The 23233-nt window shown below is 38.3% G+C and overlaps 2 protein-coding genes and 1 long non-coding RNA gene across 14 annotated transcripts in view, besides 1 other annotated feature; 2 read left to right on the top strand and 1 right to left on the bottom strand.

The window, feature by feature from the left end:
• The window catches only part of CMSS1 (cms1 ribosomal small subunit homolog), a 363871-nt gene that overhangs the window by 33990 nt on the left and 306648 nt on the right, over window positions 1–23233 (top strand). The window lies entirely within an intron of this gene.
• LOC105374010 (uncharacterized) overlaps window positions 1–23233 on the top strand; it is a 223532-nt gene that overhangs the window by 33990 nt on the left and 166309 nt on the right. The window lies entirely within an intron of this gene.
• Window positions 1–23233, bottom strand: part of FILIP1L (filamin A interacting protein 1 like) — a 285691-nt gene that overhangs the window by 23041 nt on the left and 239417 nt on the right. Inside the window, exon 2 of one of the 12 annotated variants that reach the window (XM_011512371.3) lies at window positions 12038–12109. The exons of 9 other annotated variants lie outside the window; for them this stretch is intronic. In XM_011512371.3, coding sequence (XP_011510673.1) covers window positions 12038–12078 — 41 coding nt within the window. In that variant the 5' untranslated portion in view covers window positions 12079–12109. Of the gene's footprint in view, window positions 1–12037; window positions 22636–23233 lie in introns of all 12 variants that reach the window. 2 more of the 12 variants (NM_001370247.1, XM_047447376.1) reach the window with 2 other exon arrangements.
• Window positions 16294–16588: a silencer, noted in NCBI's record as "tiled region #1863; HepG2 Repressive non-DNase unmatched - State 2:TssF". NCBI's record gives its function as "represses a minimal TATA promoter and a strong SV40 promoter by Sharpr-MPRA in HepG2 cells {active_cell/tissue: HepG2}" and the evidence as "EXISTENCE:reporter gene assay evidence [ECO:0000049][PMID:27701403]".

Below are 23233 nucleotides of genomic sequence, written 5' to 3' on the forward strand. Positions count from 1 at the left end.
TGGATAGCAATTAAATGAGGAGAATTGAGAGACATCTGTATGGGTTTGGTGTTTTCATAACATTTGAGAAGAGCATGCGGTTTGGTAGGAAAGTGCTTATTGATGAGAGTCTGATGCTAGACATGACAGAAGAGAAACTCTGTTATCAGGAACATAATAATTCCCTCTTAAATGATGACTACTATGACATGCTATTTTCTTCTTTTATGTTTTAAATTTGTCAGCATAACAGGAGGGTATTTTACATGTAGTATAAACTATCTCTTCCACTTAAGTAGTGAGGTCAAAGTTTTAAATTTGTGGCACTCTCAATTATACTGCGAATGGGCTGATTATAGAGGATGTAATTACAGCTTTGCAGTACTGTTATACAGAAGCTAAAATAGAATGGAATCCCTAAGGAATTGAACCAAAGGACTTGTCATGGATGAAGTTATGACTACTTACATTCTGATAGGTATAGAGAATTCATAAAACTTTAATGTATCTTTTCTATTAGGAATGAGTTAATTATCAAATGCATGTCTATCATCCTTATCACAGAACTTACTTTTTGAAAGTTGTGTAAGGATTTGAGAGAACTTTTTATTTATTTTATTTTATTTTATTTTTTGAAATTGAGTCTCACTCTGTCGCCAGGCTGGAGTGCAGTGGGGCGATCTCGACTCACTGCAACCTCTGACTCCCTGGTTCAAGCAATTCTCCTGTCTCAGCCTCCCGAGTAGCTGGGATTATAGGCACGCACCACCACGCCCAGCTAATTTTTGTATTTTTAGTAGAGACAGGGTTTCACCATGTTGGCCAGGATGGTCTCGATCTCCTGACCTTGTGATCCACCTGCCTCGGCCTCCCAAAGTGCTGAGATAACAGGTGTGAGCCACCGTGCCGGCTGAGAGAACATTTTAAAAGGAAACTAATTTAGGGTCATCGTCTTGGAAATTGAGTCCTTCTTTTTGAGATTCTAATCTGCTCTTTTCTGTAATTTTCTGTAATTACATTCCATAGGAGGAACATGTTGAAAATAATTGTATAAGAATTCTGCATCTTTTTTGTGGGAGTCCACTTTTAGTTTTTTCTGTTTTGAGAACTTAACAGGAGGCTGGCCCAAGGGCTGTGGCTTATAAAATTCAGAAGATGCTAGGCAGGATGCTGGGGTGTCGTTGATGATGATCTCATCCAAGGTCTTGGCAAAAGGCTTGCCCATGGTTTCTGGCCATGCCCCATCCCTATCTGAGACACATGAGAGCCTGAAAAGATAAGCATAGCAGCTTCTTCTCAAATGGTCATGGGACTTCTCAACCCAGTGGCAGAGTCCATGGGTAAACTGCTTTGGTGGTGAAATAGTTAAAAAAAACTTTGGCAAAGTGCTTCTTTCTCCTGCCTTAGCATTAGAATTCATTCGATGTAATGGTTTTGACAATGCCTTGAGCATAATTACAGTGAAATATTTTTCCCCTCTCTACACCACAGTTCTTACAGTTTTATTAGAGAACAGTTTCACAAAAGCTTTTAAATATTTATTTTCAACTTATTAAATTATAGCATGTGCTATGTCATTTTTATGAGAAGGGGGTGTGTTTTCTTAGGATATAAGGGAGGGAAGATTGTTTTGCAGTATAATTAAAAGAGTATTAAAAGGGAATGGTGATTAGTGAGTGCAGTGCAGTAACCTGCAAAAAAGGTTTAGAAAAAAATTCAGTTGCTTCCATTTTGTTCAGTGTTTTTGGAGTAGGCATGATGCATATTTTTCAGCCTGGGGCATGTTGCGTATTTTTCAGCATGATGCAAACATAAGCATCTTTTTCATGGTTTTTGTAAATTAGTTGGCATCCCCATCTGTTCCCCAAGTTCTGTCTGATTATTTGAATGCATTTTCTCTAAGCATTTCCTTACTACTTGTTTTCCAATAACCTGCTATTTTCTTGGGCCACTCTCATGAGCGCACCATAGGACAGTCAGCTGTCTAGTCTAGTAAAGCCTGTCGGGAAGGTAAACAAGAATTTATATGCAGAAAAAACTATACCCATAGCCATCAACTTGGGAGCTCAGGACAAGGAACCAGTGAGAACTGAGAGCAGGAGGCCCTGATGGAATCTTTTCAGAGCCAGTTGCTTGCGTGTAATGCTGTTACACATTGTGTGGTTGTACATGTGTGTCAGAGAGAGGGAAAGACAGCTGGTTATGCTACTGAATTTGAAGGAATTAGCACTTCTGATAGTGATGAATGGTCCACCCTAAATCGTTATTTCTTGCCTTGTATCCAGGAGCATTTGAAGGTTGAAGTTTGAGGCTAGTTTTTGGTCTTGAAGAAGGTATAGGGTGAGGAGGGTGTGGAGTTGAGCCTCCTAAGCCTGCTTCCTACTTTGAGTAGGAATGGATTTTAGACAACACAGTAACTTAATTTTCTGTCTCCATTATTTTTCTTTGCATATGTACAGGATTTAGCATTGATACTTGCATTATATGCTAATGCAGGTTATCATGAACTCTCGGTTTGCTAGCCAAAGCAGATCAATGATTTTGATTGCTTTTAACCAGGTTTTTATGATCTTCAAAGTAGCATAGACCTTGAGGTGCAGAACTCTGCAGATCTAAAATTCATTCCCTAAGAGCTGTGTAGTCAAATTATGACTCCTTTTTCCATTAATAGTTCCAGTTTATGTGCCTTTATACAGGGATAATCTATGCCAGGGTTTCTCCATCTTCAGCACTGTTGATATTTGGGGCCAGATAATTTGTTCATTGTGGAGATCATCTTGTGCACTACAAGATGTTTAGCAGCATCCCTTTGTTGTGAATTAAAAATGTTTCCAGACATTGCCAAATGTCTCCTGGGGGGCAGTCACCTCCAGTTGAGAACTACTGATCTATGCATGTGTATGTTTGTGGCATGTGTGTATGTCAGTCTGTCAGTAGAAGTTAGACTCCATCGTTTTGCTTTACTCAGCTTTAATTAAACAGGTGCAACTGAGAGCTCCCACCTGAATTACATGTACACCTGGTGATTTTATCTTCCCTGCTAGTGGCCTATTCTTTACCAATGCTTCTCACAGTGTAAAGTGCATTTGAATCACATAGGAATCTTGTTAAACTGCAGACTCCAATTCAGTAGGTCTGGGGTGGGCCTCACAATTTGCCTTATAACAAACTCCCAGATGATGTCAAGTCTGCTGGCCCTTAGACTGACTGTGGGTAACAAGGCTTTACCATTTACATGTCAGATGTTTCCTGGAAATGGGATACTGTTTGAATATTAACTCTGCCAATTGTTGTTCATTATTGATTTATACCCAGTCTGCAGTACCACAGCCTGTATTCCTGACCTACATGACCACCCATTTTTTTCAAAGAAGATACCAGGTGAGAGAATATGGCTAAATTAACTAAAATCTGTCCACATTTCTGGGGAACAAAATGACTCAAAATGCATACCATAGTTGGTGGGTCAGTAGCTACATTTTCATGCAAAAAGGGCGTTAAATGATTTTAGTTCCAATTTGTGGTTTTTCTCACACAGCACAAAGACTAAAATATATATATAATAGCTGCCATTCTTTACTTAGTGCCAGTGATGTGTTGCCAAGCAGTGAGCTGAGTCTGTACATCTGTCGGTTCTAATTCTCATGACAAATTTACAGGGTTTAGGATTATCTCCATTTTATAGCTGTGAAAATTGAGGCTCACAAAGGTCAAGAAGGAGCAAAGCCTGTGCGATTTCCCCACATTATATTGCAAAGAACACAAACCATTGCATAGGGCTGGTCCACACACAAGGATTTTTATCAAGAACACTCTGAATGGAGAACTATCAACTTAAAAAATCTTACTTAACATTGCATTTGTATTCTTTTTAAAAAGTGTGTATCTCTCAGAGCAGGGGTTTTTAAATGTTTGTTCTTATATCTGCCAAAAGAATGTTGAAAAACTAAGTACTCCTTTTCACATTTTTAACTGGCATCTAGATTCTTTCATTCAATGTTTAAATAGTTGTAAAAGGATATATTTTAACATTTGCCATCTAATGTAAAAGTCCTCATTAACAAATCGGACAGCCAAACCAGTCATTCAGGAAAAGTCTGACTTCATTTTTCAACCTAACGAAATCTGTAAATACATATCCCTCTGGTACCCATCTCATTTCTAAAAGATAAGGCATGAGGACTTGCCCTGCATTGTCCTCAGCTGAAGAAACAAGGCACTGCTCCATCCATTGTTTGGTTCTGAACCTGTTGCTGCTGCTGCTCTTGCTGCTCTGCTCTGCTCTGCTCTGCTCTGCTCTGCTCTGCTCTGTCCTCATAGGACTCTCAGGATTAAGGCTTTCTATAGTTGTACCTTTGTCTGATGCCCCAGAGGGGTTTCCAACCCAGGAAGATGCACTTGATAAGAGTTTGCTAAGAAGTTTGTTTTGAAAGTGTTGTTGGAAAAGGAGAAGTCATAGAACACAAAGAGTATAGGTATGAATAGTGGACGTAGACGTTGATCCCTTAAATCTCTCCATGCCTGTACCCATAGAAAGTCTTTATGTACCCTCAGGGGTACATGTACCCCAGTTTAAAGACTATTGTCTTGGAGTACTCATATTCATGTTCTAGTACTGACACCACAGCATTATAGGAACATTCAGTGAATCCGCTCCAATAAAAATGGGTTGTGGAAGCTGGTTTTATGGACACAAAAGTGAGGTAATTAAATCCAAACTGGCTTAAAGCAGTATCTTATTACAGCTTTCCGTTAGAGTTTCTACTATGGCTCAGAATTGTTATAACTTACTGTGGTTTATCACTATTATTATGTACAATACCAGTTCCTTATTTTTTCAAAAACATCACATCTGTCATCTTCAGTATTCTTTGGTACTAACCATAATTCTGGTTCTTCATTACAAATGATACACTCAGAGGGTTTTTTCAGTTTTTATTTGCAGACACATATAATATATGTCAGCACAGATGTGTGCCTATATTTTATCTCCTCTGTGAGACACTGAGTATTAGTAATAATGCATCATATAATACACATATGAAACACATGGTATATCTAAATGCTATAATACCAGTCATACCCATAATAACTTATATTATAATTCTTACCGCTTTTGATTTTATCTTATTTTTTGTACATTACAGTCAACCCTACTAAAATACAGACTTCTTGAGAACAGGATGAGTATCACTGTCTGATTCATTTCTGTGTCCTACAGTGTCTACCACAAAGCACTTATATGTAGAGGGAACCACATGAATTTTTTTTGAATAAATGAAAGAATGAACAAATACTCCCTTTTGTGAAAAATACTGTAGCACTGTCCTAAGTAGTTTTATTCACTATTTAAGAGGATGCTCTAATATTTACCATGTACATGTTTTTAGGCATTTAAGAAAATGAGGTATGAGTGGGTTTCCCATCAGTGTTCTCCAAGAACATTATTTTCTCTATTTCATAGCTACAGAGCCTCTAGAAAGAATCAACACTGTTGGAACAGGTCCTTCTCTCCTTTCTTCAGATCCCTGCATTAGAACTGTATGTGCTTGCTTGTTTGAGGAGAACAGGGTTAGGTGGTAAACGTCCACATCCTAGCCCATCAGTCTCCTTTGGCTTTATCAACTCTGCTAACAAAGGAGTGACTATTTTATGTTTTCCTCAGAGTCCAGAGATCTACTGGACAAATATGTTTGTTTATTACATAAGCAACATTGTATCAACAGCAGTGACAGTGGAAAGGAAATATCTATAATCTGACCACCCTAAAACATCAATTATGTTTCTGTTTTCACAGATTGTTTTGCAGTTTTTCAGATGCTTGGTCCATAGAAATAAACTTAGGGTGATCATCAAGCAATAAAACGAATTCCACAAGCCATTAATGGTACTGTATTGTTTCTATTAGTTTCAGAAATCAGCCTGTAAATAGAGAATAACTTCAGAGTCAGCTTAGCTTCTCATCTGTCTCTTTAAGGAAACCTATTTTTCACTATGTTCACTATGTAAATCTTGAATTTAATGTTTCTGATGTTATGAATATGGCAAGACTTTTATTCATTTAATATACAAACAACAAAGACAATCATTAGTACTAAGGCTATCCTGAGATGAACAGGGGATAGAGGATCCTATTCTCAAAGTGTTTATAGGCTAATTAGGAAAGAAAAAGGAGATAGTTCCAGCACAATTCAGTAAAGGCTCCAGAGCAGTAGTTCGTAACCTTTTAGGTCTCATGACCCCTTTACACTCAAAAAATTTTGAGGACCCTAAAGAGCTTTTGAGTGTATGGGCTGTATCTATCTCTTTACTGTATTAGAAATTCAAACTAAGATTTTAAAAATACTCATTAGTGCCAGATGCAGTGGCTCACACCTATAATCCCAGCACTTTGGGAGGCTGAGGCAGGCGGATCATGAGGTGAGGAGATCGAGACCATCCTGGCTAACATGGTGAAACCCTGTCTCCACTAAAAATACAAAAAATTAGCTGGGCATGGTGGCACGTGCCTGTGGTCCCAGCTACTTGGGAGGCTGAGGCAGGAGAATTGCTTGAACCCGTGAGGCAGAGGTTGCAATGAGCTGAGATCACACCACTGCACTCCAGCCTGGGCGACACAGCAAGACTCTGTCTCAAAAATAAAATTTAAAAAAAATCATTTGTTAAAAATAATAAATAATAATAAATCCATCATCTGCTAAATAACATATTTTTATGAAAAAATACTTTTACAAAATTATTTAGTGAGAAGAGTTGCATTGTTTTACATTTCTGCAACTAATGTCTGGCTTAATTGAAGACAGCTGTATCCTCAGATCTGTTTCACACATTCCATTAGCTGTCAGAGAAATCATCACACGTCATGGAGCCTCTGGAAAACTCCATATACACTTCTGAGAGAATGAGAGAGAAAAAGGTTGTGTTATTATGAAGATATCTTCTTCACTCTCAAAGGGGGCCACACTTTAAGAACCATTACTCCAGAGGATAGACAGTTGAAACATCAGTGGCAAATTTGTCTTTCTCTGGAAAAGCGTCTGGTTTGGGCTGTCACCTTGTGCTTCTTCTGTCAGCCTTTTGCTTCATCCTGATGAAGTCCCCCAATTCACTGGCTTAGTCACTGCTTTGATGTTTCCATCATTAATAAAGCCAGTCACTTGCTAACCGTCAAACATAGATGGGAGATTCTCTGCCTTCAAATGTTCTCTCCCAGTCCACAGAAAAGTCCTAAATGACAAAACTGTTTTCATAAGACATTGTGTTTTGTTTGAAACTCCAATTTGAAATAAGAGTATGGAAACCACTAAGTTGCCTGGTTTTTATAAATGGGTCCATCCATAGTGCTATGCAGTTCAGCTGACATTTAATTCATTTCAGACCTTGATGAGACAAATACAGTGACAGCTACTATGTGCAAGGCACTGTACTTGCTATTTGTCAGTTCTTTTTTCCCCAAAACCTGCCTGTATTCTTGCACAGATCAGTCTGATCATACTTACAGTATTCTCCCAGTAACAACCAAATAGTATGATGATACCAAAGCTTGTTTGGTCTTAAGATGTTTGAAACAGTGTAACAGTCACCCTAGTCCTAAGTATGTAACTTCATTTTGATGGGCTTAAATTCCTGTATTTGTTCTCATTATTCCAGAGCTAGTTTAATACATTACTTTTTCTTCCTGATTTAATATGTTGATTACTAAGCAGAAAACTGCATACATCACACTCCTTTATTTATTTTTATATCTGCTCTCACAGCTAGACTTTGATAGCCTGATTATGATTATATCCCATTTTATCTTTTAGCAATTCTTGTCTAATACATAATTTTAACTGTGTTGCGTTGATAGTAGCTGTGTTCATGGTTAAATAACCATGGATTTCTAGCAGTTTGCAGAGTAATTACATGGAATTTATTGGAAAGCTTCTTTATTTGAGATAAATTTTGGTATCAGGCCTATAATTTATGTTTCCTTGCTTTCCTCCCTGCTTTTTCTATGGGACTTTTCACTGTTTAGTCTAAATTTTAAGAGCACTCATAAAAATAGCTGTGACCCGTCTTTTTTATTCTGTGTATGCTGCTTCCTTGTATTTCACAAGTCAAAGGTTTTCTAAAAATTACAGCTACAGCATACCATAGCCATAATGTAATGTACAATTCATTTGACTTAGTCAGCAAGATCAGTAGAACAGTAACACTTTTTTTGGCATCTGCTAGTTGAATATGAGTGTACATCTATGTCTGCTTTATGTCCTTGTTACTGAAGATCCTGTCATCATCACTGAGATCCTTTAGAGATACCATAAATGGGTCCAGACCCAGCAATTTGGGTTAATACTATTTTCCTTCATTGTGAAATAAGAATTAGGGCAGGAAGTTAAGAAGGAGGCTTTAGCTTGGTGTCAGAGGAATATATGGTAAAAATGGTATACTGTTAGTCATTACTCTTCATCACCTGAACGATTAATCTTACTAGGCCCCCCAGAGGTCAGGAGAAGTGAAATAAGATGGAAATAGTCAAATGACCCATTAATTATAAGGAGCTTGGTAGCTTTTAGCAGAGAATCAGGATTCTAAAAAGCGGTACTGAAATCCTCAAATTGAGCACAAGGACTGGAATTGAGGCAAATCTCACTCTTTTAAGAGCAGAAAAAGGAGCAAAGTAACTGAGAAAAAGGGTCTCTGAAAGGTGAGGTTCCAGAACAAGTAAAAGGCCAGTCTGAGGGTCCACAGGCACAGAACTTGGGTAGTTAGGCAGCTACAAGGAGAATATTTTCATCTTGAGAACAAAGGAGGTGCCCATGATTCTGGGCTAGAAAAGACACTGTCCATGCTGCTATGAAAGGGCCAGGTGGAGACTTGAAAAGATGCTCAGGCTAGACCTGGAAGAAGAAACTGGAACTGACAGGGGAGTGACAACAAGTACAGCACATGTAAATTTGTACCAGGATAATTACTGCCTAAATAATGTGTTTTGACTTCTGCAGTACTGTATTGTTAGGGAGCTTTCTAGTAAGAACCTTTGGACAATGGATGTTCATTTAATACCGTGAATATTGTGCCTCTCCTATCACTCTTTTAATTTTTCTTATTAAAAATACCTACTCAAATGAAGTTTTCTTTATGCCGTTTACTCAGATGACATCTATCAAGAAGGAGCTTTTAAAAAGTTAATTACTGTGAATACACTGCTGTGCTAGAGAGTCTACTCATTTTTCTCACTTTTCTTTTTGTTTTCCTCCCCCACCCCCTGCTCCCACCACCACTCTGAATTGGGGTTCTTGATTATTTAGAAAAGATCCCTTAAATCAAAGTTTCCTCTTTTCCATACTTTCCATTTTGATTGTTAATACACCCCCGCCCTCCCAAAAAAAATTACCTGTCTTCCAACAGATTAAGACTTTAGGTCTTTGTCAGACTAACAGTTTCAGGTAGATGTCCCCTTAATCCTCCAAAGCCTACCTGGGCCTTCCACAGCCATGATGCCTTCCCCTGGCTGCCCTGTCCCTCTAGGGAGAAGTATCCAAAAAGCCACTCAGCATGTGATGCCTTGTATTATCACAGATGTGTGTGTATTCCTGAAAGTGCCTCCTAGTTCATGGCATACAGAGCTGCCTTTACACCTAGCATTGTGATGGTGCTCCTCCTGGGCTTGTCCTCAGGTTCCTAATGCTTTCATTGTTTATCATTGTCTCCATTCCTTCCTCCCACTCTCTGCAGTTGATTTTGTACTCTCTGTGATCTGCGTTCTTCTGTATCTTGTCTGTTTGCCCAAGGTAGCCTTCTTTAAGACAGGGATAATGTCTTCCCTACTGCCTGTTCCCTATTACCCCCAGCAAGAGATTGCAGTAAACAGTGCAGGTGGCAGAGGGCAGGTGGAATGACTGACAGCATGTACACTCTCTAGTACCGAAGCACCAATAGGAACGAGACAGTGGAAAACTATGAGAGGCAGGGCAGGGCAGTGCAGAGCGAGAAATTCAGACTCTGGAGTTCAGTTTTTGCAGCTGAATCCCGGCTTTCCAACTTCTGTCTAGTGTGACTTGAGCAAGCAATTTAACCTCCCTACAAGTCTCATTTTCTTCATCTGTAGAATGGGGATAATATTAGAGCCTCCCTCACAATAGGGTTGTTCTGAAGATTAATAAAAAACAATCCATACAAAAAGTCCTTATCATAGTGCCTGGCACAATACATGTCCGTTCTCATTAGAAGTAGGATGGTGAGTACTAAAAGAGTAGGTTTTAGATGTTCTCACCACAAAAAAATGATAAGTATGTAAGGTAACAAATACGCTAATTAGCTTGATTTAGCCATTCCACAATATCTAGATATATAAAAACATCATGTTATAGGCCCTAAATATAGTTTTAATTTTCATTTAAAAAATCAAATCAAATAAAAATAAGTGCTACTTGCTTGGCATATTGGAAAAAAAAGTAGGACAGTGAGACAACACAGTGAGACAACGTCAGTCACAATGAGCTGACCTAAAGTAGGGGTCAGCTGGGGGAAGAATAGCACAAATCACATTGGAATGAAAGATATGACTACATAATGTTTATTGCGATCTATTTTAAGGCTTTTCATGGATCTTTTCAGCTATGCACATGGTTAGTCATAATGATTGTCATTTTAGGTCAGAGTTTCTCAGCCTTAGCATTGTTGACATTTTGGTTAATTCTTTGTTGTAGGGGCTGTCCTGTACACTGTAGGGTGTTTAGCAGCATCCCTGATCTCTACCTACTAAATGCCAGGAGCAACACAGTACCTCCAGCTCAGTTGTGACAACTACTGAATGTCTCCAGACAACTACTGAATGTCTCCAGACATTGCAGAGAAATTGAGTCTGGTTGAGAAGTCACTGTTTTAGGGCATAATTTTTGGGTAGACTGTTAGATTCTTTGTGTTCGTTGTCTCTGGCCTGTATAACTCTTCTTAATTATCTGCTACTCAAATGTATTTGGGATCAGCCACTGTCTTCCATTTCTCTTTTGCTCACAGATCTACTCCACAGCTCTTCTCCCTTCCTGGAAGAGAATGATGCTGTGAATGTCCAATATCCAATGAAATGCCAGCATATCAAAATGGATGCTAATAGTTGACCTTCCCAAAGCCTCACTGATGCTCTGCTCATCTTACTCCTGCTCTTCATTTTTTGGATGTGAATGTGTACTTTGTCTGCTGGGTTTAGATACTCATAGACTTGGTCTACTTAGGCAGCGGTCCCCAACCTTTTTGGCACCAGGGACCAGTTTTGTCAAAGACAGTTTTTCCATGGACATGGGAGAGGGTGGTGGTGGTGGATGGTTTTGGGATGAAACTGTCCCACTCGGATCATCAGGCATTAGATTCTCATAAGGAGCATGCAACCTAGATCCCTCACCTGCACAGTTCACAATAGGGTTCACACTCCTATGAGAACCTAATGCTGCTGCTGATCTAACAGGAGGCAGAGTTCAGGCAGTAATGCTGCCTCATCCCGCTGCTCACCTCCTGCTATGTGACCCGGTAATAGGCCTCAAACTGGTACTGGTCTTCGGCCCTGGGGTTGGGGACTCCTGTACGTGGGGACTCAAAGTCTGGGTGGGTTGACTGGGTTAGTACACTGTATATACTATTCCTGGGCTTGGTTTCCATAGTCAAAAATGTCAAGTAGACTATTAAGGATATTTTATAATTTTTTTGACTCTTCAGAAGAAAATACAAAGCAGCAGATTGAAAGATACCCTAGTTGTCTGAGAAATAGGTCATTTGGGGTTTTCATATTGTTGGATAATTAATTTTTCAGTCTATTTTGTGTACTTTTAACTCTTTAAATTTCAATTATGGATTTTTAGATTAAATTAGTATTCCTAAATATTTGACACATATTTCAAAATGTGTGTATTAAAACGTATACTAGGAACAGTCTTCCTCTTACCACATCGTTCATCTCCCCAACTGTAACCACTGATACTAGTTTCTCTTATGTACTTGTAGAGTTTCTTTATGAGTACATAAGCAAACATAAATAAAGATTCTTATGCTCTCCCCTTTTTACACAAAAGTAGCTTACAAACACTGTTCCTCAGCATCTTGTTTTTTGCAGCCAAACATTTCTTGGAGATCTTTCCATTGGATCAGTGTTCTTAAGCAGGAGCAGGAAAAGGGAATAAAAATAAACATGGTTGCTAAATACATCTTTACAACTTCATGCTAAAGAAATTAAACTTTGTAGGATCTATTTTTAATGGAATTAATATGTAGGAGGTATGGAAGACATATACTTTTGCTGTTTTGAAATTATTAAGATAGATTGTAACAGTAAGATTATTTGACTTATAACAACAGCTTGAGTGTTGTATATCTATCTTTATAATGTCTGTGTAGAGCACATGCATTTATTTTCTTAGTTGAAAAACTGAGGCCCAGGCAGATTAATACTATGCAAGGCCATCATTATGGTGGCCCTGGAACTGGTACTAGAGTGTGAGACTTGGCTTATAAAGAGAAGGAAACAAGCATATTGAAGGTCTACTCTGTGCCACTAGATCTCACTTAATACTTATAGCAACTGTATGAGCTAAGTATTATTATTCTCATTTTGCAGATGGAGGAGAAACCAAAAAACTAAAATTTACAGAGGTTAAATAATTTTCCAAACAGTACAGGTAACAGACCAGAATAAAAATTCACTGGCTGCGAAGTCTGTGTTCTTTCTACCTAACAACCAGGCTACATGCCGGAAACCCCAGACAAAAAATGTTGACCTCAGAAGAGTTTCCTCTTATCCCATACCATGTTTTTGGTGTTCATTTGTTCATTCCCATGCTTTCTGCTCCACCCACTTGGCTCCCTGACCCCTTCTACTGTTCTCCTCTTTGCTCACTCTGCTCCTCTGCCCACTCACCAGCTTCTTTGCTATTCCTCAAACAGAACACGGCATGGTGTGCTTTTGTGCTCGCTGTCTCCCCAGGAACCACTGGATTCCCCCTCACCTCATTAGTACCATCTGGCATACTATATTTTATGTATTTATTGATTACTGTCTCTCCTACTAGAATGTAAACTACATGCAGGTAATGGTGTGTGTGTATGTGCGCACACACGCATCTCATTCAATGATTAGTCAATCATTGGTCTATTTTGTTTAATACTATATTTCTGGTAGGGAACAGTACCTGGTACTTAATTGGTATTCAATAAATATTTGAACAAATACCTCTTCTATTTTTGAAATAGGTACCATATTTGAAAGCATGGGTATAACTAAGCAATAGACATATAGTAGGCCCTCCTCTCTATAGTCTAGGAATAACAGCTAGTTGAACAATTTTTATATGCCATGTACCGTGTTAGTCCTGCAAACAGTCATAGGAGGCAGGTATTACCGTCTTCTTATTTTACAAATAAGAACTGAGGCTCAAAAAAGTTAATTTGCCACAGGTCCTGGTGAGTAATTGGCAGAGCCAGAATGCCAGTGTAGTTTTTACTCCAAATCCTGTTTCTCACCCCATTACATACATCCACACTTCCTATCTCATATATTATATCTCATGAGCCATCCTCTCCAGTGAATTTGTGTGCTGTAATATTCTGCCTGTCAAAGATCCCAAATCACCACCACTAGCAATTCAGTGTTGTGTCACAGTATTTCCTATAGGTTCATGGCTACTTTGAGCCTTGATCTTGAGACATTAGCAAATATTCTCTTAGTCATTATAATAATATAGCAAGTTTCGTCATTTGGCATAAATTCATAATTATTTTTGGATGGTTTAAAAAATTGTGACTTTGCCAGTAATAACATCTCATGTTCCCCAGAGGTGGTGGGTTTGTCATAAATACCATTTCCATAGAACATTTCAAGGAACCTAAAGTTCTTGGAAAATATTTTTAACAGGCAGCCATTTCTCTGACAGACTTCAAGGGCATAATAATAAATATATATATATATATCCTTAGAAATATGTGTGTATGTATTTTATCTTATTAAGAATATTTATATGTTTTTTTATTGCTCACAATCCATTTATATTTCAATGATCCTTTTGTATTTTAGCAGATTAAAGAATCCAGGAATGGTTCTTTAGAAAATCATTCCAATGTAGCTGTTAAATTTTGTTTTTAACCTCCATTAGTCCCTTTTTTCTCTTCCCAGGTCACAGGTTATTTTCACTTAGATATTGCACGTGGGCATTTTGGAGGATTTAATATGATTCCTTCTCTTAACCTCTACTCTTCGTTGGGCTGCTTTTCTTTCCTTTATTCTCTCCTTTATTCTCTCCTTTGTAGAAAGCATGTATCCTTTTCCAGAACTTATTCTGAGCAAAAAGTTAAAACTTTTTTTAAGCCTGTGTTTTTTTTTTTAAAGGCTTTCCTTTTTTATGTGGCTTTCTTACCTTAATTGTTGTTCAGTTCACCACATTTAATAAAAAGCCAAAGCAGGGGCCAGTCACGTACCAGAATGGATAAGTTCACTGGTTTTCACCTCCTTGTAGTCTGGCTGCCTACACAGAGGCAGTGGCTAAAGTGGTATGCTTGGGAAACCAAACGTTTCCTAACTTGTTAGTGGGAAATTCAAACTTCAGAAATTTAGAAACCACAACAACAGATGCCTATGTTTTACTGTGACTACTGAAGTCACAGTTTGCCATAGAAACAGGATGGATAGCAGCCTGAAGAGTATAAAATGTGAAACATTTTGATCCTTAGAGGACTTTTTTGGGTCCTCGATTTTAGCTGTCATAAATCAGTAAACAAGGAGCAAGGAAAATAGGGAAATTTAATACATTTAAGAGTACTTAGAGGTTCAGGCAGTTAGAGGATGAGGGTTAATGTGTGGCTTGGCTTCCTGCTGAGTAAACAATTAAATCATGAGCCACAGTGAGCATCCTACTTCTACCTTTACCCACTCTTCCTAGTTCCTGAGGATGATTGGTTTATATCTTTTCCATGATTTTTGCAAAGTGAGAGTTTGGGCCATATGCCATCTCTAATTACAGACAGGTGGAAAAGTTTTATTCTGTAATCTGCTGGAACATGAATGACCATTTTTCTTGTGGTCTGTGTTTTGCTTGTCCTCTTGCATGCTTTGTACAAATTAAAATTATTTTGGTTATCTGAGCCTTGTTTAATTTTCCCTTGACTGTAAGTCCAGAGCATTTGGGTTATGTTTTCCTTTTCAGCAACTTCTGAATACTGAGAAGACAGAAAATGCATAAACAGTCTGATCATACTTCCTTTCCTGTAAGTTGGGTTCTTTTAAGATGAACATGTTCTAGAGGATATTAAGCTTGCATAGCAAGGAGTAATTCCATCAAAATATGACAGTGGTCAACAGCATATCTGCTAGAGGTGAGAGCAATGACTGTACCCCACTTCTCTTGGCCCTGGGTCTGCTGCTTATACTGTCCCTGAGCAGGAGTTTCACCCATTTAGTTTATCTATGTGAGAAATGTTCTGTTTGTGGCAGTTAAAGAAATGGCTATAGTATACCTCATGTATGTGCTATTTGAATACCATCCATTTTTGCCCTGACCATATCTTACCTTGTGATTTGAATTTTAAGAGAAGGCAAACTATCTCAGGTTTTAGTAGCTGAAAAAAAGGTTTTTGAAAAAAGCTCTGGCTTCACTATTCATCGCTTTTTAAAGTTTACTAATTCACAGCTAAAAACAAAGAAAGCAGAACCCCAGGTATTAAACAATTGAAAAGCCACATATCTGATGGACAGGAAATGTTGGACCAAAATCTGCTAGTGACTTAACTATCTGACCTTACCTCATCTGCTTGTCACCTTAGCTGCAACATGGGAAGAGCAGTGCAATTTTGTCTCTAAGGTCTACAAAGCCTTTGGCAATCTCAAATCTCAGTTCCACAAAATAAATACTCCCAACAATCTTTAGAGTCCTTTCCTCCCTTCTTTCCTATATAACACTGTATACAAATTCACATGTCAAGAGATTTTATGGCTCATCAAGTCTCAATGGTTCAAAAGAATGGAAAACCGTAATTGGAATTCCATGGGATTCAGATTTATTTGAGTCTGTTGTAGTTCACAAGTTGTAAGTATGCTGTAAAAGCAAATAAGTACTTAAAATGTTATACTAAATTCAAAGTACAATTAAACTGAAAAATTAACACCTAGGCAAAAAGTATTTAGACTGTTAATTTCAAAAGAGACTCTTTATTGTTTGTGGCTAGGATCTGATATAAGCCATTTAGCCCAGGTTGTAAAGATTTGTCTTACAGATTTGTTTTTTGTGGGTGCATGGTAAAACAGGGAGATTCCAAACTAGCTTTTAAGCCTTTTGCAGTCACCAGCTCTCTTCGGTCCTTTACCTGCTCAGGAAGTTGTTTCTTACTTCAGATGAGTAAGACATTTTTAGGAAAGTTCTTGTGGGTTTCTCACAGGAGGGACTGCCTTGTAGCAGGGAAATCAAGGTAAAGGGTAACCTCTCCTTACAGAGTGGCTAAGGTTAGGCACGCTAGAGACAGATCTTCAACAAGCTTAATCCTTTACTCCACTTCACAGCTGGGTGTCTGAGAACAGGAATTCTTCATGACTGCATCCTACAAAGGACCTCCTCTTTGGCCTGAGACAGCCCCCTATATGTCAGCCCAGCAGCACCAGATGATGAAGGAGCATCATCCCTATGGATAGACTAGCATAACCAGAAGAGTAACAGTAGCTGCTATAGGTTTGGCACTGTGCCAACTGCTTCATCACGTTTAAGCTTCAGGTTAAGAAGTGATGTTACTTTAAGCTGCCTTCCTTTCTGCATAAGTCCAGGTTGTTCTGAAGGCCAAATAATGGGTTTTTAAACTTACAGTTTGGGTGCTCTGATCTTGGCACAAGCCTTATTTGTCTTTTAACCTCAGGTTCTCCTTTCATAATAGACTTCTGAAGAATAAGTCTGCCATCTTTTTTGGAATGCTGCATTCAGTCATCTCCATTTACATTTCAGTTCCCATCTTTTCCATGAATGTTTCTTAACTTGTCTAACCCTGGCTGATTTTCCTTTTCTAAGTCCCCACAGCCCTTACAGCTTTATTACCTAAATATTCTACATTATTTTGTACTGCTTTCTAATTTGTTTTAGTATATTACTTTTGCCGTTAAGCCAACTGTAAGCTCCTTAAAGGAATAATACCTCTGTATCCCTCATATGGGTTGAACTCTGTGCATACTTGACCAAATGATAGAGAGGTAAAAAGAACCACTTCCTAGGGGAGTATAACCATCCCTTAGGCTGAGTGGTACCTAAAGTTCTCAGAATGACTTGTTATTAGAATGGAAGAAGGACAAGTAGAGTTTTGTTCCTCTTGTTCTTGTCACTTCTGGAAGGAGAACCATTTAGTGAAGAGAAGAATTCACTTGGAGACAAATTTAATTAAAGTCCAGATGGGGAAAATTGGCCAGAGAATCTTAACTTTGCCTGTGATTCTTTGCATCTGTGTTCAGCCTAATGAATTTTATTGAACTGTAAAAAGAATTTTATGGGGCAGAATTTGGGGGGAGATTAGTGGAGCCCCAAATCACTTGGCAAAGTTACTCTCACTTTTATTTGAAAGCCTCAAGAATAATATGCGACTTCAAACATAATGTATTTATTTTAATAATATGAGTGTTTGAAAAGTAGATAATTTTCCTTTTAGCAGCAGTGGATTCATTTTCACAAAATTCCACAGAGTAATTCACTTCTTCTGCCATTCCCAATTAACAGACTAACAAGTTAAGACTAAGGGACTTCCACAATATCTCACTGAATGGGTGTTTGTCTTCAGCAAGAAACCAGCAACTTTCTCATGTTCTCTCTAGGCTCCTGGACCAGGCAACTCCTTCCTTTTCTTCAAATTTAACAGGCAGACACTTAAGTCTTGCGAGCCCAAATGTGATGTTTTACATTCCACTTATGATCTCTGCTCAGAGATTTGTTTTTGTTTTGATTCACATAAAAAAGCATTTTAAAAAGAAAGAGAAAAACATATTTCACCTTTAAACTTTTGTTCCAGGACTGGTGGGCCATGAGACACAATAAATCTGGCAGATTTGCTTCTGTCAGGGCAGCCCATCTTAGAGGACTGACCTCAGCCTTGAGGCTGCTTTAGATACAGTGATTTGGAGCTCTCACAGGCCCAAGTGCTACAGCTGTGTTCATCTTTTCTCCATTTACATGTGGACTCTTTCCCTCAAATTACCCTCATTTTCTTTAGCTAATTTGTCTCTGTAGTGATATAATCAGTAGCTTTTATTTTTATATTGTCTCTTCTCTACTTGATCAGAGTTCCCATGAGGGTTATTGCTCATTATTCAATCTTTATTGAGTACTGAGAAATACTTGGGGTGGATGACATTGTTCCCTTTTTGTAATTTGTAGAAACCAAGGGAACAGGAGGCTCACCCAGTAAATGGATGGCAGAGCTAAGAAGAGTAGAACTCTGATTTATCCACCCATTATTCTTACTCTTTTAGTCTCACCGTTGAGACACTAACATTTATCCCTGTCAATTCAGTGTCACTATTCAGCAAGGTTGGCCATTGACTATATTCTGTTGAAGTTTTTATAAGCATTCTCCCACATTGTTTATCTTTACTTAGTTTTTATGTGTAGCTGATCTCTCCTACCTTCATTGCATTACCAGTCAATTAAAATAGAGCAGGGATGGGACCATAATTGAAGTTGTTGTCCAAGAGCTGCTAGTGATCTTAGTCCTTGTCATTAATGTGGTACCAGTCCATGCTAGTAGCTATAGCTGGGTTAGTGACATGGTATGGTGTGTGGTGAACTTAGTTGCTGGGCCTGTTTTCATGCCTTGTGCTTAGCTCAGTAAATGTTTGCTACTGCTGAGGAGAATTATAAGCCCTAGGCTAGCTTCACAGGTTGACATTGGAGTAACTTTGAAATTAAAGAAAAATCACTCTTCTGTAAAATCTGGGAGATACACTGGTTTACCCACAGAAACTTTGGAATGAAGTACATGCTTGGGAAAAGGCAGTCTGCTGCATGGCAAAGATAAGCCATTTGTGCCCCGTAAGTGCATCTTCCAGGCCTTCACCTGAGGCACAGAGATTAGAGAAATTCAGAGGAGTCCACCCTTCATTAACCACTGCACTGTGTTCTTCCATATTTTGCTTGAAGGCCATTCCATGCCCCCGGGTGACTCACCTGATACTCCTTCACCAGGTATACAAAGTCTCATTTTATTGGGGAGGGAATTAAACTGAGGTAGATGAAGATGGGCAGAAAAGCATCTGACTTAGTCTGCCTATATAACATACACTGCCATACAAAGCAGATTTCACTGCCTTGACTTAAGCTGAGCCTAACTTGGTTTCTAGTTAAGTTCACTGCCTTGACTTAACCTGAGCCTAACTGGTTTCTGTAAGTCACTTCCATATGGTTGCTTTAAGTAGTGGCTGAGATTTGTTTTCAGCTCCTAAACAAAATCTAGAAGAAGGGGCCCTCCACAGCCCACTGTTTGCAGAAACACTTTTTTTTTGTATCAAATAAGCAGCTTCTAGGTTGTAATTTGTTCATATATTTATCCAACACCTTTTCTGTCCCAGCAACACACCTACTAATTGTACCTCGGTACTTTCCTAGGCACTGGAGGTAAAGCTGGTTGTAAAACTGACCCTGAAGGAGTTTATAGTCCAAGAGACAGATAATAAGCAAATAAATCATTAATGAGTAATTTAATGTCACATCACAGTGCACAGTTTGAAGGAAAATAAAGCAGGGTAAGTACCACCAGGAGCTTGTAGCCTTCATAGGTGACTTCCTCTGCAGTTTTGGGGGAGGTTGTTTTGAAGGCATTGAGTCACTTTGAATTTTGAAAGGGATCCTGCTAGCTGCGGACGTCTGAGGAGTGCAAAATGCTTAGCTGGAAGATACTAATAGAAGGTCATTTGTCAAGTTAGTGGTTCAGACCCAAATGTCTTTGACCACAGAGTACACAGTCTTTCCAGGGCACCTCTCACCTTCCAAGTAGAGAGTGGGATTTGCCAGCCGGAGGACCTTTAAATACACTTATTTTTTATTTTCTCTTTCCTCCCTTTATCACCTCCCTTCTGTTGTTGTAGCCTGATTAAATTGTATTGATTTTCACAATGCTTCCTTATCCTTTGCTTTTTTATTGCTTATACTTAAGAACTTTGAACCTTTCTACTTTCTTTTTTTAATGGATTTTATATCTAAATTAACACCTACAGTACTGAGGCTTTTTCTGGGGCTTCTGTTCTCCTCTCTTCCTAGCACTAATTAAGGAAAAACTACTGGTGAGCTGTAGCCCAAGAATGCAGGGGGCCCTGGCCCTACCTCTGCATAGCTGTGTCTCTGGGGCAAGTCACACTGTGGACATCAGTTTCTTCTGTAAAGTGAGGCATTTGGATCAGATGACCTCCATTGCCCCTTCCAGCTGTAAAATTCTGTGGATATTCTGTGCCAGGACTGTGTGTGTGTGTGTGTGTGTGTGTGTGTGTGTGTGTGTGTGTGTGTGTGTGTGACTGTGGGGCCTGGGGTATCCCATTTTCCATATAGTCAAGTACCTTATCAAGGTACTTCTCAAATTCATAGTTGAATGTTTGCTGTTCTGATGTAATGTATGCTTTCTTTTGCTGATAATAACTCCTTTAGGCTAGAATAAGTAGTTATCATAAACAGACACAAGGAGTTGAGGTATGTCTGCATCCTGTCTGTCCCAATCATACACTTACCTATCTACTCCTCTACTTACCTCCCTACTGCTCCCCTGCCTGCCCCCACAAACACATCATTCCCCAAGCTTGTTTAAAAAAAATTCTATACTTAACAATTTATCATATTTTGGAGCCAGTAGAGCATAGAAATGTGAGGACGGTCAGACTGGAAAAAGAATACTGCTAATGTGTTCTCGTTCTTGGGCTCAGAATTAAAACTGCTGCTGTCCTATCTTAATCTGCTAAAGCATCTCAGAGAACAAGCATGAAGAGGGAGTGTTTCTCATATCTGAAAAAGAAACCAGGGACTTTCCTTGGTAAGCCTTCCCATTTTTGTTTGCCCAGCTTTCCCAGGCAGAGACGATGTTAGTGCAGATGAAGGTCAAGGAGAATCTCAAGTCTTTTTTTTTTTTTAAAAAAAGGAGGGATGTGCAAAGGCTGATAAGTGTTGGTGATAATCTGCTAGGAATTAGTGTACCTAACAAAATGACTCAAAACATGAATGTCCTACCTCATTTTAAGTAGAAAATGACCAGCCATAGGAGGTTCTAAAAGTCATTGCAGCACACTTTAAGCATAAGTGACTGGGTTGGTGGCTAGAAAATGTTGTGGTGATGACAGCAGCAACCACAGAAATATTGCTTTGAAGGTTTGTGATGCTGGCTGCATATGCAGTGTCTCTTCATCTTTAAATCCTTATTTAAATATAATTTACAAAAACTAAACAATCAGTTTAAATTGAAGCTGAATTCATGGTCAAATACAAATTAAATGGACCTTAAAATCGTTTAAAATTAATATGTCCAACAGATAAGGTAGGGTGTATTAGATTTTTCAAAGATGACAGGCTCTGTGAACAACAGATGGGGCCATTTCAGTTCCTGAAGCAGGTTGAGACCAATATTGCCTTACATCCACAATATCCAGTCTTTTATAAACAGTTCTCTTCTTGCCCCTCTTCCTTTTTCCTTTAAATAGGAGGGGCTGTATGTTTTTTTTCTATTCACCTTGTAAAATGTTCACTTTGCCCTGAAGCACTAGACATGGACAGAACATGACCTAAGCAGAATTATTGGAATCTTATTCTTCCTCCTACATTTTCAGTTTTTTTTCTTAAATCTCAAAATCCATTTATTACCAAAGGCACTTTTTTGGAGGGGAAATTACAGCAGAGAACCCTTAAACAAAATTTACAGCCTTTTGAGAAGGCAAATTAATGGGAACTGCAAGAGAACCGGAAAATTAAGTCAAGGCTTGATTTGTGTTTTCATACTGGCTGTTACTATAGTCTCCATCACAGCATTAGGAAAATAGCACAAAAATACCAGGGCTTAACAGTTAAGGTTAATCACCACAAAAGTGCAAATGAACTTACTAAGCATAAAATTATTATGTGCTTTATTTGGAAGTGTAGAAATTCACATTCATTCTATCAAAAACATTTTCCCATCATACAGATTGTCCCAAGGACTAAGAAATTGCTCATCCAAAGAGCCCAGTGTGAGATAGGGTATCCATGATAAGTCATACTTAGCTTTCAGTTTTAAAAGAGGTCTTATGTGATTGTTCTTTGAACCATGCTTTAAAGTTAATAAATGGGAAAAAGTGTGGAATATTAAAGAGTGTTATTTTTAAATTTTAAAAAATCGATGCTTGCCTGCTTTAAAAAAATAAAAGACACTGGGAAACACAGCTGTTAGAATTTTGATGGAAGTTATGATTTTCAACAGTTGAGTTGTAGTTTATGGTACAGATGGTACTCTGGGTATACCTGAAACAATAATTGATGGTTTCTGTTTGTCTCTTCCTCTGTTAGATTCAGAAGAGCAGAATATCTTTTTTCCAGAGCAGGAATTTTTCAGTTTCCAATTACCGCTTATATCAGATAAACAACTCTTCCATTGCATATTCTGTACTTCTCCACAGTGACATGGGTGTTGGCCCCGCTCTTCTCATTATGGTGGGCTTCCCTAGGTTTGAAATAATAGTTTGTGGAAAATCCTACTTCTCAGTACTAACCTGCAGTTTATATAGCCTATCCTCAGGCCAAATAACATATAATTTTTCTTTTAAAATATGAAAACCAAAGTCGTGCATTGCTCCAAACAAAATTAGCAAAAACAAAAAAACTGCTATGAGGCAAAAATGATAGGCACCAATGTCATATACTTTTAAAAACCATCCAACAGAAATTATTAGAAATATACAGATATAACCCACATTTTGAGTATTTTTTAAATGCTGTGTTTCAATGATAAAATCTGGGATCTGACATTTTCTTCTGACAATTAAATATAAAAACATGAGTTTGTAACACACACATACACCTCAGTGGTTATAGTGCTCTGCTCCTCTGTTAAACTTTTACTGTACCTCCAAACAGTTATCTTATATGGTCATTTTAGTGCCAACTAAAATGCCAGCATTTTAAAATCTCAGAGTAAATATAAATGGCAGCCTATGAATTCTGAGTTTGAATTGTATATACTTATAAAACATAGAGACTGTTTTAAAAGGGACAATTCTGTCACATAGTTGTTAAAGTTTTATTTTACAATATATGTTTAG

The sequence above is a fragment of the Homo sapiens genome, chromosome 3 (genome assembly GCF_000001405.40).
Source record: "Homo sapiens chromosome 3, GRCh38.p14 Primary Assembly".
NCBI lineage: Eukaryota > Metazoa > Chordata > Mammalia > Primates > Hominidae > Homo > Homo sapiens.